At 40.1% G+C, this 15,353-nt stretch overlaps 1 protein-coding gene across 13 annotated transcripts in view, besides 1 other annotated feature; it reads right to left on the reverse strand.

The window, feature by feature from the left end:
* The window catches only part of COL28A1 (collagen type XXVIII alpha 1 chain), a 205,677-nt gene that overhangs the window by 126,067 nt on the left and 64,257 nt on the right, over nucleotides 1–15,353 (reverse strand). For all 13 annotated transcript variants that reach the window (XR_926936.4, XM_011515360.3, XM_011515358.4 and 10 more), the window contains 2 exons: nucleotides 12,852–12,920; nucleotides 10,341–10,409 (listed from right to left, as the gene is read on the reverse strand). Coding sequence is in view for 11 of the 13 variants with exons in the window: in XM_011515360.3 (XP_011513662.1) it covers nucleotides 10,341–10,409; nucleotides 12,852–12,920 (138 nt within the window). In the remaining 2 variants the exon portion in view is untranslated. The remainder of the gene's footprint in view (nucleotides 1–10,340; nucleotides 10,410–12,851; nucleotides 12,921–15,353) is intronic.
* Nucleotides 1,149–1,832: an enhancer, noted in NCBI's record as "NANOG-H3K27ac-H3K4me1 hESC enhancer chr7:7505040-7505723 (GRCh37/hg19 assembly coordinates)". NCBI's record gives its function as "activates a minimal SCP1, AML or CMV promoter by ChIP-STARR-seq in primed H9 embryonic stem cells {active_cell/tissue: H9 hESC(primed)}" and the evidence as "EXISTENCE:reporter gene assay evidence [ECO:0000049][PMID:30033119]".

Consider the following 15,353-nt stretch of genomic DNA (forward strand, 5'->3'; position numbering starts at 1 on the left):
GAACGTCAACAAAGAAATAATGGATTTAAACTATACCCTGGAACAAACGGACTTAACAGATACTTACAGAACATTCTACCCAACAACCACAAAATATACATTCTATTCAACAGTGCATGGTACCTTCTCCAAGATAAAACATATCACAGGCAACAAAACAAGCCTCAATAAGTTCAAGAAAAGTGAAATTATACCAAGCAGTCTTTCAGACCACAGTGGAATAAAACTGGAAATCAACTCCAAAATGAACCTTCAAAGCCATGCAAATACATGGAAATTAAATAACCTGCTCCTGAAAGATCACTGGGTCAAAAATGAAATCAAGATGGAAATTTAAAAATTCTTCAAACTGAATGACAATAGTGACACAACCTATGAAAACCTCTGGGATACTGCAAAGGCAGTGCTAAGAGGAAAGTTCATAGCCCTAAACACCTATATCAAAAAGTCTGAAAGAGCACAAACAAACAATTTAAGGTCACACCTCAAGGAACTAGAGAAACAAGAACAAACCAAACCCAAACTCAGCAGAAAGGAAATAAGCAAGATCAGAGCAGAACTGAATGAAATTGAAAATTAGATAAATGAAACAAAAACTGGTTCTTTGAAAAGATAAATTGATAGACCATCAGCAAGATTAACCAAGAAAAGAAGGGAGAAAATCCAAATAAGTTCAATTAGAAACGAAACAGGAGATTTACAACTGGCACCAAAAATCTAAAAGAAATCCAAGCAGAAATCCAAAAGATCATTCAAGGCTACTATGAACACCTTTATGCGCATAAACTAGAAAGCCTAGAGGAGATGAATAAATTCTTGAAAAGATACAACCGGGGGAGGAGCCAAGATGGCCGAATAGGAACAGCTCCGGTCTACAGCTCCCAGCGTGAGCGACGCAGAAGACGGGTGATTTCTGCATTTCCATCTGAGGTACCGGGTTCATCCCACTAGGGAGTGCCAGACAGTGGGCGCCGGCCAGTGTGTGTGCGCACCGTGCGCGAGCCGAAGCAGGGCGAGCATTGCCTCACCTGGGAAGCGCAAGGGGTCAGGGAGTTCCCTTTCCGAGTCAAAGAAAGGGGTGACGGACGCACCTGGAAAATCGGGTCACTCCCACCCGAATATTGCGCTTTTCAGACCGGCTTAAGAAACGGCGCACCACGAGACTATATCCCCCACCTGGCTCAGAGGGTCCTACGCCCACGGAATCTCGCTGATTGCTAGCACAGCAGTCTGAGATCAAACTGCAAGGCGGCAACGAGGCTGGGGGAGGGGCGCCCGCCATTGCCCAGGCTTGCTTAGGTAAACAAAGCAGCCGAGAAGCTCGAACTGGGTGGAGCCCACTACAGCTCAAGGAGGCCTGCCTGCCTCTGTAGGCTCCACCTCTGGGGGCAGGGCACAGACAAACAAAAAGACAGCAGTAACCTCTGCAGACTTAAGTGTCCCTGTCTGACAGCTTTGAAGAGAGCAGTGGTTCTCCCAGCACGCAGCTGGAGATCTGAGAACGGGCAGACTGCCTCCTCAAGTGGGTCCCTGACCCCTGACCCCCGAGCAGCCTAACTGGGAGGCACCCCCCAGCAGGGGCACACTGACACCTCACACGGCAGGGTATTCCAACAGACCTGCAGCTGAGGGTCCTGTCTGTTAGAAGGAAAACTAACAACCAGAAAGGACATCTACACCGAAAACCCATCTGTACATCACCATCATCAAAGACCAAAAGTAGATAAAACCACAAAGATGGGGAAAAAACAGAACAGAAAAACTGGAAACTCTAAAACGCAGAGCGCCTCTCCTCCTCCAAAGGAACGCAGTTCCTCACCAGCAACAGAACAAAGCTGGATGGAGAATGACTTTGAAGAGCTGAGAGAAGAAGGCTTCAGACGATCAAATTACTCTGAGCTACGGGAGGACATTCAAACCAAAGGCAAAGAAGTTGAAAACTTTGAAAAAAATTTAGAAGAATGTATAACTAGAATAACCAATACAGAGAAGTGCTTAAAGGAGCTGATGGAGCTGAAAACCAAGGCTCGAGAACTACGTGAAGAATGCAGAAGCCTCAGGAGCCGATGTGATCAACTGGAAGAAAGGGTTATCAGCAATGGAAGATGAAATGAATGAAATGAAGAGAGAAGGGAAGTTTAGAGAAAAAAGAATAAAAAGAAATGAGCAAAGCCTCCAAGAAATATGGGACTATGTGAAAAGACCAAATCTACGTCTGATTGGTGTACCTGAAAGTGATGTGGAGAATGGAACCAACTTGGAAAACACTCTGCAGGATATTATCCAGGAGAACTTCCCCAATCTAGCAAGGCAGGCCAACGTTCAGATTCAGGAAATACACAGAACGCCACAAAGATACTCCTCGAGAAGAGCAACTCCAAGACACATAATTGTCAGATTCACCAAAGTTGAAATGAAGGAAAAAATGTTAAGGGCAGCCAGAGAGAAAGGTCGGGTTACCCTCAAAGGAAAGCCCATCAGACTAACAGCGGATCTCTCGGCAGAAACCCTACAAGCCAGAAGAGAGTGGGGGCCAATATTCAACATTCTTAAAGAAAAGAATTTTCAACCCAGAATTTCATATCCAGCCAAACTAAGCTTCATAAGTGAAGGAGAAATAAAATACTTTATAGACAAGCAAATGCTGAGAGATTTTGTCACCACCAGGCCTGCCCTAAAAGAGCTCCTGAAGGAAGCGCTAAACATGGAAAGGAACAACCGGTACCAGCCGCTGCAAAATCATGCCAAAATGTAAAGACCATCGAGACTAGGAAGAAACTGCATCAACTAATGAGCAAAATCACCAGCTAACATCATAATGACAGGATCAAATTCACACATAACAATATTAACTTTAAATATAAATGGACTAAATTCTGCAATTAAAAGACACAGACTGGCAAGTTGGATAAAGAGTCAAGACCCATCAGTGTGCTGTATTCAGGAAACCCATCTCACGTGCAGAGACACACATAGGCTCAAAATAAAAGGATGGAGGAAGATCTACCAAGCCAATGGAAAACAAAAAAAGGCAGGGGTTGCAATCCTAGTCTCTGATAAAACAGACTTTAAACCAACAAAGATCAAAAGAGACAAAGAAGGCCATTACATAATGGTAAAGGGATCAATTCAACAAGAGGAGCTAACTATCCTAAATATTTATGCACCCAATACAGGAGCACCCAGATTCATAAAGCAAGTCCTCAGTGACCTACAAAGAGACTTAGACTCCCACACATTAATAATGGGAGACTTTAACACCCCACTGTCAACATTAGACAGATCAACGAGACAGAAAGTCAACAAGGATACCCAGGAATTGAACTCAGCTCTGCACCAAGCGGACCTAATAGACATCTACAGAACTCTCCACCCCAAATCAACAGAATATACATTTTTTTCAGCACCACACCACACCTATTCCAAAATTGACCACATACTTGGAAGTAAAGCTCTCCTCAGCAAATGTAAAAGAACAGAAATTATAACAAACTATCTCTCAGACCACAGTGCAATCAAACTAGAACTCAGGATTAAAAATCTCACTCAAAGCCGCTCAACTACATGGAAACTGAACAACCTGCTCCGGAATGACTACTGGGTACATAACGAAATGAAGGCAGAAATAAAGATGTTCTTTGAAACCAACGAGAACAAAGACACAACATTCCAGAATCTCTGGGACGCATTCAAAGCAGTGTGTAGAGGGAAATTTATAGCACTAAATGCCTACAAGAGAAAGCAGGAAAGATCCAAAATTGACACCCTAACATCACAATTAAAAGAACTAGAAAAGCAAGAGCAAACACATTCAAAAGCTAGCAGAAGGCAAGAAATAACTAAAATCAGAGCAGAACTGAAGGAAATAGAGACACAAAAAACCCTTCAAAAAATCAATGAATCCAGGAGCTGGTTTTTTGAAAGGATCAACAAAATTGATAGACCGCTAGCAAGACTAATAAAGAAAAAAAGAGAGAAGAATCAAATAGACACAATAAAAAATGATAAAGGGGATATCACCACCGATCCCACAGAAATACAAACTACCATCAGAGAATACTACAAACACCTCTACGCAAATAAACTAGAAAATCTAGAAGAAATGGATACATTCCTCGACACATACACTCTCCCAAGACTAAACCAGGAAGAAGTTGAATCTCTGAATAGACCAATAACAGGCTCTGAAATTGTGGCAATAATCAATAGTTTAGCAACCAAAAAGAGTCCAGGACCAGATGGATTCACAGCTGAATTCTACCAGAGGTACAAGGAGGAACTGGTACCATTCCTTCTGAAACTATTCCAATCAATAGAAAAAGAGGGAATCCTCCCTAACTCATTTTATGAGGCCAGCATCATTCTGATACCAAAGCCGGGCAGAGACACAACCAAAAAAGAGAATTTTAGACCAATATCCTTGATGAACATTGATGCAAAAATCCTCAATAAAATACTGGCAAACCGAATCCAGCAGCACATCAAAAAGCTTATCCACCATGATCAAGTGGACTTCATCCCTGGGATGCAAGGCTGGTTCAATATACGCAAATCAATAAATGTAATCCAGCATATAAACAGAGCCAAAGACAAAAACCACATGATTATCTCAATAGATGCAGAAAAAGCCTTTGACAAAATTCAACAACCCTTCATGCTAAAAACTCTCAATAAATTAGGTATTGATGGGACGTATTTCAAAATAATAAGAGCTATCTATGACAAACCCACAGCCAATATCATACTGAATGGGCAAAAACTGGAAGCATTCCCTTTGAAAACTGGCACAAGACAGGGATGCCCTCTCTCACCACTCCTATTCAACATAGTGTTGGAAGTTCTGGCCAGGGCAATCAGGCAGGAGAAGGAAATAAAGGGTATTCAATTAGGAAAAGAGGAAGTCAAATTGTCCCTGTTTGCAGACGACATGATTGTTTATCTAGAAAACCCCATCGTCTCAGCCCAAAATCTCCTTAAGCTGATAAGCAACTTCAGCAAAGTCTCAGGATACAAAATCAATGTACAAAAATCACAAGCATTCTTATACACCAACAACAGACAAACAGAGAGCCAAATCATGGGTGAACTCCCATTCACAATTGCTTCAAAGAGAATAAAATACCTAGGAATCCAACTTACAAGGGATGTGAAGGACCTCTTCAAGGAGAACTACAAACCACTGCTCAAGGAAATAAAAGAGGACACAAACAAATGGAAGAACATTCCATGCTCATGGGTAGGAAGAATCAATATCGTGAAAATGGCCATACTGCCGAAGGTAATTTACAGATTCAATGCCATCCCCATCAAGCTACCAATGACTTTCTTCACAGAATTGGAAAAAACTACTTTAAAGTTCATATGGAACCAAAAAAGAGCCCGCATTGCCAAGTCAATCCCAAGCCAAAAGAACAAAGCTGGAGGCATCACACTACCTGACTTCAAACTATACTACAAGGCTACAGTAACCAAAACAGCATGGTACTGGTACCAAAACAGAGATATAGATCAATGGAACAGAACAGAGCCCTCAGAAATAATGCCGCATATCTACAACTATCTGATCTTTGACAAACCTGAGAAAAACAAGCAATGGGGAAAGGATTCCCTATTTAATAAATGGTGCTGGGAAAACTGGCTAGCCATATGTAGAAAGCTGAAACTGGATCCCTTCCTTACACCTTATACAAAAATCAATTCAAGATGGATTAAAGATTTAAACGTTAGACCTAAAACCATAAAAACCCTAGAAGAAAACCTAGGCATTACCATTCAGGACATAGGCGTGGGCAAGGACTTCATGTCCAAAACACCAAAAGCAATGGCAACAAAAGCCAAAATTGACAAATGGAATCTAATTAAACTAAAGAGCTTCTGCACAGCAAAAGAAACTACCATCAGAGTGAACAGGCAACCTACAACATGGGAGAAAATTTTCACAACCTACTCATCTGACAAAGGGCTAATATCCAGAATCTACAATGAACTCAAACAAATTTACAAGAAAAAAACAAACAACCCCATCAAAAAGTGGGCAAAGGACATGAACAGACACTTCTCAAAAGAAGACATTTATGCAGCCAAAAAACACATGAAGAAATGCTCATCATCACTGGCCATCAGAGAAATGCAAATCAAAACCACTATGAGATATCATCTCACACCAGTTAGAATGGCAATCATTAAAAAGTCAGGAAACAACAGGTGCTGGAGAGGATGTGGAGAAATAGGAACACTTTTACACTGTTGGTGGGACTGTAAACTAGTTCAACCATTGTGGAAGTCAGTGTGGCGATTCCTCAGGGATCTAGAACTAGAAATACCATTTGACCCAGCCATCCCATTACTGGGTATATACCCAAAGGACTATAAATCATGCTGCTATAAAGACACATGCACACGTATGTTTATTGCGGCACTATTCACAATAGCAAAGACTTGGAACCAACCCAAATGTCCAACAATGATAGACTGTATTAAGAAAATGTGGCACATATACACCATGGAATACTATGCAGCCATAAAAAATGATGAGTTCATATCCTTTGTAGGGACATGGATGAAATTGGAAACCATCATTCTCAGTAAACTATCGTAAGAACAAAAAACCAAACACCGCATATTCTCACTCATAGGTGGGAATTGAACAATGAGATCACGTGGACACAGGAAGGGGAATATCACACTCTGGGGACTGTGGTGGGGTCGGGGGAGGGGGGAGGGATAGCACTGGGAGATATACCTAATGCTAGATGACGAGTTAGTGGGTGCAGCGCACCAGCATGGCACATGTATACATATGTAACTAACCTGCACAATGTGCACATGTACCCTAAAACTTAGAGTATAATAAAAAAAAATAATTAAAAAAAAAAAAAAAAAAAGAAAAGATACAACCTTCCTAGCTTAAATCAGGAAGAATTAGATACTCTTAACAGACCAATAACAAGCAGTAAGACTGAAATGGTAATTTTAAAATTACCAACAAAAAATGTCCAGGACTAGACGGATTCACAACAAAATTCTACCAGACATTCAAAGAATTATCAATCCTATTGACACTATTCCACAAGATAGAGAAAAAGGGAACCCTCCCTGAATCATTCTATGAAGCCAGTATCATCCTAATACCAAAACCAGGAAAGGACATAACCAAAAGAGAAAACTACAGACCAATATCCCTCATGAACATATATGCTAAAATCCTTAACAAAATACTAGCTAACTGAATCCAACAACGTATCAAAAAGATAATCCACCATGATCAAATGGGTTTCATAACAGGGATGCAGGGATGGGTTTAACATACGCAAGTCAATAAATGTGATACACCACATGAACAGAATAAAACAGGCTGGGCATGGTGGCTCACACCTGTAATCCCAGCACTTTGGGAGGTCAAGGCAGGCAGATCACTTGAGGTCAGAAGTTTGAGACCAGCCTGGTCAACATGATGAAACCCCATCTCTACTAAAAACATAAAAATTAGCTGGATGTGGTGGCGGGCACCTGCAATCCCAGCTACTCAGGAGGCTGAGGCAGGAGAATTGCTTCAACCTGGGAGGTGGAGGTTGCAGTGAACTGAGATGGCACCACTGCACTCTGGCCTGGGCAACAAAGTGAGACCCTGCCTCAAAAAAACAAAACAAGAAACAAAAATCACATGATGATCTCAATAGATGCAGAAAGAGCATTTGACAAAATCCAGCATCCCTTTATGATTAAAGCTCTCAGCAAAATTGGCATACAAGGAGCATACCTCAAGGTAATAACAACCATCTATGACAAACCCATAGCCAACATAATACTGAATGGAGAAAAGCTGAAAGCATTCCCTCTGAGAACTGGAACAAGACAAGGATGCCCACTCTCACCACCCCTCTGACACATAGTACTGGAAGTCCTAGCCAGAGCAATCAGATAAGAGAAAGAAATAAAGAACATCCAAATCAATAAATAGAAAGTCAAAGTGCCTGTTTGCTGATGATATGATTGTTTACCTAGAAAACCCTAAAGACTCCTCCAGAAAGCTCCTAGAATTGATAAAAGAATTCAACAAAGTTTCCAGATACAAAATTAATATACACAAATCAGTAGCTCTTCTATACACCAACAGCAAACAAGCCGAGAATCAAATCAAGAACTCAACCCTTTTTACAATAGCTGCAAAAAAAAAAATAAAATACTTAGGAATATACCTAACCAAGGAGGCGAAGGACCTCTACAGGGAAAACTACAAAACACTGCTGAAAGAAATCATAGATGACACAAACAAATGCAAACACATCCCATGCTCATGGATAGGTAGAATCAATATTGTGACAATGACCATACTGCCAAAAGCCATACACAAATTCATTGAAATTCCCATCAGAATACCATCATCATTCTTCACAGAATTAGACAAAAACAATTCTGAAATTCATATGCAACCAAAAAAGAGCCCACATAGCCAAAGCAAGACTAAGCAAAAAGAACAAATCTGGAGGCATCAATTACCTGATTTCAAACTACACTATAAGGCCATAGTTACCAAAACAGCATGGTACTGGTATAAAATAGGCACATAGACCAGTGGAACAGAATAAAGAACCCAGAAATAAACCATCATACTTACAGCCAACTGATCTTTGACAAAGCAAACAAGAACATATAGTGGGGAAAGGACACCCTATTCAACTGGAATAATTCAGCTGGAATAATTGGCAAGCCATATGTAGAAGAATAAAACCGGATCCTCATCTCTCACCTTATACAAAATCAGCTCAAGATGGATCAAGAACTTAAATCTAAAACCTGAAACTATAAAAATTCTAGAAGATAACATTGAAAAAACTCTTCTAGACATTGGTTTAGGCAAGGATTTCATGATGAAGCATCCAAAAGCAAATGCAATAAAAACAAAGATAAATAGCTGGGACTTAATTAAACTAAAAAGCTTTTTCACAGCAAAAGGCACAGCAAAAGGAACGGTTAGCAGAGTAAACAGACAACCCACAGAATGGGAGAAAATCTTCACAATCTATACACCTGACAAAGGACTAATATCCAGAATCTTCAATGAACTCAAACAAATTATCAAGAAAAAAACAAATAATCCCATCAAAAAGTGGGCTAAGGACATGAATACACAATTCTCGAGAAGATATACAAATGGCCAACAAACATGAAAAAATGCTCAACATCACTAACGATCAGAGAAATGCAAATCAAAACCACAATGTGATACCACCTTACTCCTGCAAGAATGGCCATAATCAAGAAATCAAAAAATAATAGATGTTGGCACGGATGCAGTGAACAGGGAACACTTCTGCCTTGCTGGTGGGAATGTAAACTAGTACAACCAGTATGGAAAACAGTGTGGAGATTCCTTACAGAATTAAAAGTATAACTATCATTTGATCCAGCAATCCCACTACTGGGTATCTACCCAGAGGAAAAGTCGTCATTATACGAAAAAGATACTTGCACATACCTGTTTATAGCAGCACAATTTGCAAATGCAAAAACATGGAACCAACCCAAATGCCCATCAATCAATGAGTGGATAAAGAAACTATGATATATATATTACAGTGTGTGTGTTTGTTTATATATATAGTGTGTGTTTATATATAGTGTGTGTTTGTTTACATATATAGTGTGTGTGTTTGTTTATATATATGATGGAATATATATACTGTATACTATATATACAGTATATATAGTGTGTATATAGTGTATATATAGTATAACATATATTATAGTGTGTTTTTATATATATGATGGAATACTATATATATACTATATACTCTATATATATATGGAATATATATATATATATATGTGATGGAATACTACTCAGTCATAAAAAGGAATGAATTAATGGCATTTGCAGTGACCTGAATGAGATTGGAGACTATCATTCTAAGTGAAGTAACTCAGAAATAGAAAACAAAACATTGTATGTTCTCACTCATATGTGGGAGCTAAGTTATGAGGACGCAAAGGCATAAGAAAGACACAGAGGACTTTGAGGACTCGGGGCAAAAGGGTGGGAAGAGGGTGAGGGATAAAAGACCACAAATTGGGTTCAGTGTATACTGCTTGGGTGATGGGTGCACCAAAATCTCACAAATCACCACTAAAGAACTTACTCATGTAACCTATCACCACCTGTTCCCAAATAACCTGTGGAAATAAAATAATTATTTTAAAAAAAGAATATACTAGATTTATAATTAACCAGATACCTGTGTGGCATGGTTGTCATGTATACAGTTCAGAAATGTACATACATAAAGAACAATGACAATTTTATTGGCATTGTTTCCAGTGTACACCCTATTATACAGTACCTTCTCCCCTTTGATTGACAGGCCTTGTAATCCCTGTGGGCCAGTTGGTCCTTCAGAACCTTTTTCACCCTGAAAGTACAAGGGAGGGATATCAATGCACCAACCAAAATCTGAATTTTAAAAGAGTTTACATTACAAATACTATGAATTGTGCTTCAAAATTATTTTTTAAATAAAGCATCCAAAGTCACTGTTTACTACAAATGGGTAATTCTAATTGACTCTGAGATTTGCAACTTGCAAAAAATACATTAGTCATAACACTTAAACAAGAAGGAAGCTATCCAAGCAAAACACATATGTAGCATCCCTGAAGTTAGAAAAGAGCTCAGTTCCCAATTTAAACAAAAATATTCTGGAAATGGATCACCTAATCAATCACATAGTATAACTAACTGGATCAAGTCTCCTTTTCCTTAATATTGCTGAAACTGGGTCCATCACACAAGGAAAATTTATTTCTCGTACTAATATGTGAACTAATACTTGCTAGGATTAGATTATTACCTTTTTTTTTGTTTATAAACATTCATTGAAAATTTATGTTTAAAAGAATTCATGGAAAATCTTCTTAGATATGCTCCTACAGTTACATGACGTAAGTGAACAGCTCTGTCCTTAATATAACGTATATTGTCATAATACTTCATGCATTTTTATGAAAAATAAACCATATAATAAATCAGAAGCAGCATTCATTTAATAAATTTATTAGAACCAAGAGTAAAATCAAAGAACATTTACAAATTAGCCCCAAATAGTACATACAGAGAACACCCATTGGTCTGACTAGTTGGGGAATGAAATATTCTGATTCTGGGTTCTTCTGATCATTACCACAGAATATAACTGCATATACTTGATCCTAAAGCAGCACGGAACACGATGTGTTCTTTCTTTGATGAGATAGAGGTCAATGCCCATGAGCTATTACATACAAGAGTATCAATAAAGTATGATAATACCTCATATAATATAAAAGTATGTTGAACCTGTCACTATGAAATACCCTGGAATATTCTTCTTAATGTTTCACATATTCATTTCTCATTTATTTCTTTCTCTTTAAAAAACACAGATTTTAAAGAGAAATAATTCTATTTGAATTTTTCAGATTATTTGGGCTACACATAAATAGAAGTAGAAATTTACTAAGTGCCAAAAAAATCTCAAACTGTGTATTACAAAACTTTCGGTGATGTCATGCCAAGTTGCTGACCTGTCTTCTGATAGTGATACTGTGATTAGTCAAAGGTGTTAGTAATATCCCTTTATCCAACATATTATTTCCATTATCATGACAAATTAAAATGTGTTCATTAACAAGGGCGTCTTTTAAAATTTAACCCAGCAGTCACTCAAAACTAAGGATGAATTATTTGTTTTTATCTAATTGTTTTCCCTCTAGTAGAGATTTAGGATTCTCATAGATAATTGAATATCGATCATGGTGGAAGAAGCTGAGAATGAAATGCACTTTTAGAGCATGAGGCCATACTGAGAAGGCCATATCTTAGTCACCTGATGGAATGACTGATGTGGAGGGTCTCAGACACTTAGAAAGCAGCATGTACTTCTCCGGGCAGTATGTGTGTATATGCATGTGTGTGTTTTTTGGGGAGACTTTGGAAATAAAGGAAGAAGGACTCCAAAATGTATCTTTACGTACTCTGAAATGTTGTTGATGCTGCTCATTTTGGAAAACACTTTTTAACATGCCCTTCAGCAAATGTGCCAAAGATTATATACAAACTGCCTATATCAGGGGACAGCAAACTACAGCCCATAAGCCAAATTCAGCCCACTGCCTGTTTTTATATTATAAATATAGTTTTATTGGAACAGCCACATTCCTTCATTTATACATTGTTTATGGCTGCTTTCAAGCTACATCAGCAGTTAAGTAGTTACAGCAGATACCATATGGCTCACAAAGCCTAAAATATTTGCTATCTGCCCCTTTACAGAAAAAGTTTGCCAACCTTTGGTGCAGAACAACTTGAGCTCCAAGAATTACATAAGGGAAATGACAGGAAATTCTCAATGGCTAGTTAAAAAGGAAGTCTTTCATAACATTTTGTTTCTGTAGTAAAATTTTCTTTCTTATTATATTGATGGCAGTACTATTACAGATTGGTTTCTTATCTGTGTTTCACGAAAAAAGCTGTGAGCAAAGAATTGCCATAGCTACACTCGATGATTTAACTTCTGGGCATAAGGATGTTATTTATCACTGTGGCTTTAAATGACTACAAACTACTTTAAGAGATTTTTCTAATTTCATATGTAGTAATTACATGAAGTAGAAGTCTTTCAATTACTTATTTGTAGTTCCAAATTTTACTGTATTTTCGCATTACAGGGAAATTTACATATTCCTTCATTAAATGGAATAAAGATGGTCAGAAAAATAATTAACTTCTAAAAATTGGCTAGGACACATTTTTAAAATTTGTAATTCACGAGCATGTAAGACAAAGCACCTTTTCCTGGTACAGAAGGTATTGTTACCTTTGGTCCTGGAAATCCTTCTCCGGGTAAGCCCCTCTCTCCTGGTACTCCCTCAGGACCACGGGGACCCTGGTTAGGATAGGAGAAAATGAGGAGCAGGAGGAGAGAGAAAAGGGAAAGAGGAGTGATGAAAAAGAGGAAAGAGGAAGAAAGAGAATGGTTATATTTCAGTTTACATGCCAAAAAAAAATGGATAGTTGGATCTGTACTAAACATGTACAGGCTTTTTCTACTTTATTAGTTCCTAAATACTATAGCATAATAACTATTTACACAGCATTTACATTGTATTAGGTATTGTAACTAATCTAGAGATGATTCAAAGTATACCAGATGTGCATAGGTTATACGCAAATACTATGCCATTGTGTCTGGAATTGGTGGGTTCTTGGTCTCACTGACTTCAAGAATGAAGCCGCGGACCCTCGCGGTGAGTGTCACAGTTCTAAAAGGCAGCGCGTCCAGAGTTTGTTCCTTCTGATGTTCAGTTGTGTTCCCAGTTTCTTCTTTCTGGTGGGTTAGTGGTCTCGCTGGCTTCAGGAGTGAAGCTGCAGACCTTCGCAGTGAATGTTACAGCTCATATAGGCAGTGTGGACCCAAACAGTTAACAGCAGTAAGATATACAGCAAACAGCAAAAGAACAAAGCTTCCACGGTATGGAAACGGACCCCAGCAGGTTGCCTCTGCTGGCTAGGGCAGCCTGCTTTTATTCTATTATCTGGCCCCACCCACTTCCTGCTGATTGGTCCATTTTACAGAGAGCCGATTGGTCTGTTTTGCAGAGAGCTGATTGGTCCGTTTTGACAGGGTGCTGATTGGTGCGTTTACAATCCCTGAGCTAGACACCAAAGTTCTTCACCTCCCAGCTAGATTAGCTAGATACAGAGTGTCGATTGGTATATTTACAAACCCTGAGCTAGACAGAGTGCTGATTGGCGCATTTACAAACCCTGAGCTAGACACAGAGTGCCGATTGGTGCATTCACAATCCCTTAGCTAGACATAAAGATTCTCCAAGTCTCCACCACATTAACTAGATACAGAGTGCCGACTGGTGCATTCACAAACCCTGAGCTAGACACAGAGTGCTGATTGGTGTGTTTACAAACCTTGAGCTAGATACAGAGTGCTGATTGGTGTATTCAAAATCCCTTAGCTAGACATAAAGATGCTCCAAGTCCCCACCAGATTAACTAGATACAGAGTGCTGATTGGTGCATTCACAAACCCTGAGCTAGACACAGGGTGCTGATTGGTGTGTTTACAAACCTTGAGCTAGATACAGAGTGCTGATTGGTGTATTTACAATCCCTTAGCCGGACATAAAGGTTCTCCAAGTCCCCACTAGACCCAGGAGCCTAGCTGGCTTCACCCAGTGGATCTCGCATGGGCTCGCAGGTGGAGCTGCCTGCCAGTCCCAGGCCCTGCGCCCACACTCCTCAGCCCTTGGGCAGTTGATGGCACCAGGCGCTGTGGAGCAGGGGCCGTGCTCCTTGGGGAGGCTCAGGCCACACAGGAGCCCACGGCGGGTTGGGGAGACTCAGGCATGGCAGTCTGCAGGTCCCAAGCCCTGCCCCGCGGAGAGGCAGCTAAGGCCAAGTGAGAAATCGAGCGCACTGCCGGTGGGCCAGCACTGCTGGGGGACCCAGTGCACCCTCCGCAGCTGCTGGCGCGGGTGCTAAGCCTCTCACTGCCCGGGGCGGCAGGGCCAGTCGGCTGCTCCAAGTGCGGGGCCCGCCAAGCCCATGCCCACCCGGAATTCTAGCTGGCCTGCAAGCGCCAGGCAGCCCTGGTTCCACCCGTGCCTCTCCCTCCACACCTCCCCGCAGGCTGAGGGAGCCGGCTCAGCCCTCGGCCATCCCAGGAAGGGGCTCCCACAGTGCAGCGGTGGGCTGAAGGGCTCCTCAAGCATGGCCAGAGTGGGCACCGAGGCTGAGGAGGCGCCAAGAGCAAGTGAGGGCTGCGAGGGCTGCCAGCACGCTGTCACCTCTCACCATTTTATACAAGGGACTTGAGCATCTGTGGATTTTGGTGTCTACAGAGGTCCTTAAACCAATCCCCCATGAATACCAAGGAATGGCTAATGACTGTGGCTCTGTTTAAATTTTTAGTGAGAATCCTTCTAGTCAACTCAATACTGATCAGTAGAATTGTAGAGCTACGAAGAATAATACTCCCATTGTATTAAATACTCGTTCCATTTGATTGGCATAAAATGTTCTATTCCACTGTTCTCAAAGTAGAAGAAAATGGAAATTAAATGATGCTTTGAAATAAGAATTAAGAAATAAATTATCTGAGGAAATGCTAAAAATCTGGAACTGTGTGGCCCAGAGAAGGATGCAGAGTGATTTAATAATTTAATTATCAGGGGAGTGCTGTGAAGAAATCATCACACAGCTGTTTTAAAGCATTAAGTGCTGTTTACATGTGTTTCAATTTCTGTACTGATAAATTTGGATTAAAACTTGAATTATTTCAGGAACTGGTTGAACCCACAGG

Source organism: Homo sapiens, chromosome 7 (assembly GCF_000001405.40).
Source record: "Homo sapiens chromosome 7, GRCh38.p14 Primary Assembly".
In the NCBI taxonomy this organism is placed as follows: domain Eukaryota; kingdom Metazoa; phylum Chordata; class Mammalia; order Primates; family Hominidae; genus Homo; species Homo sapiens.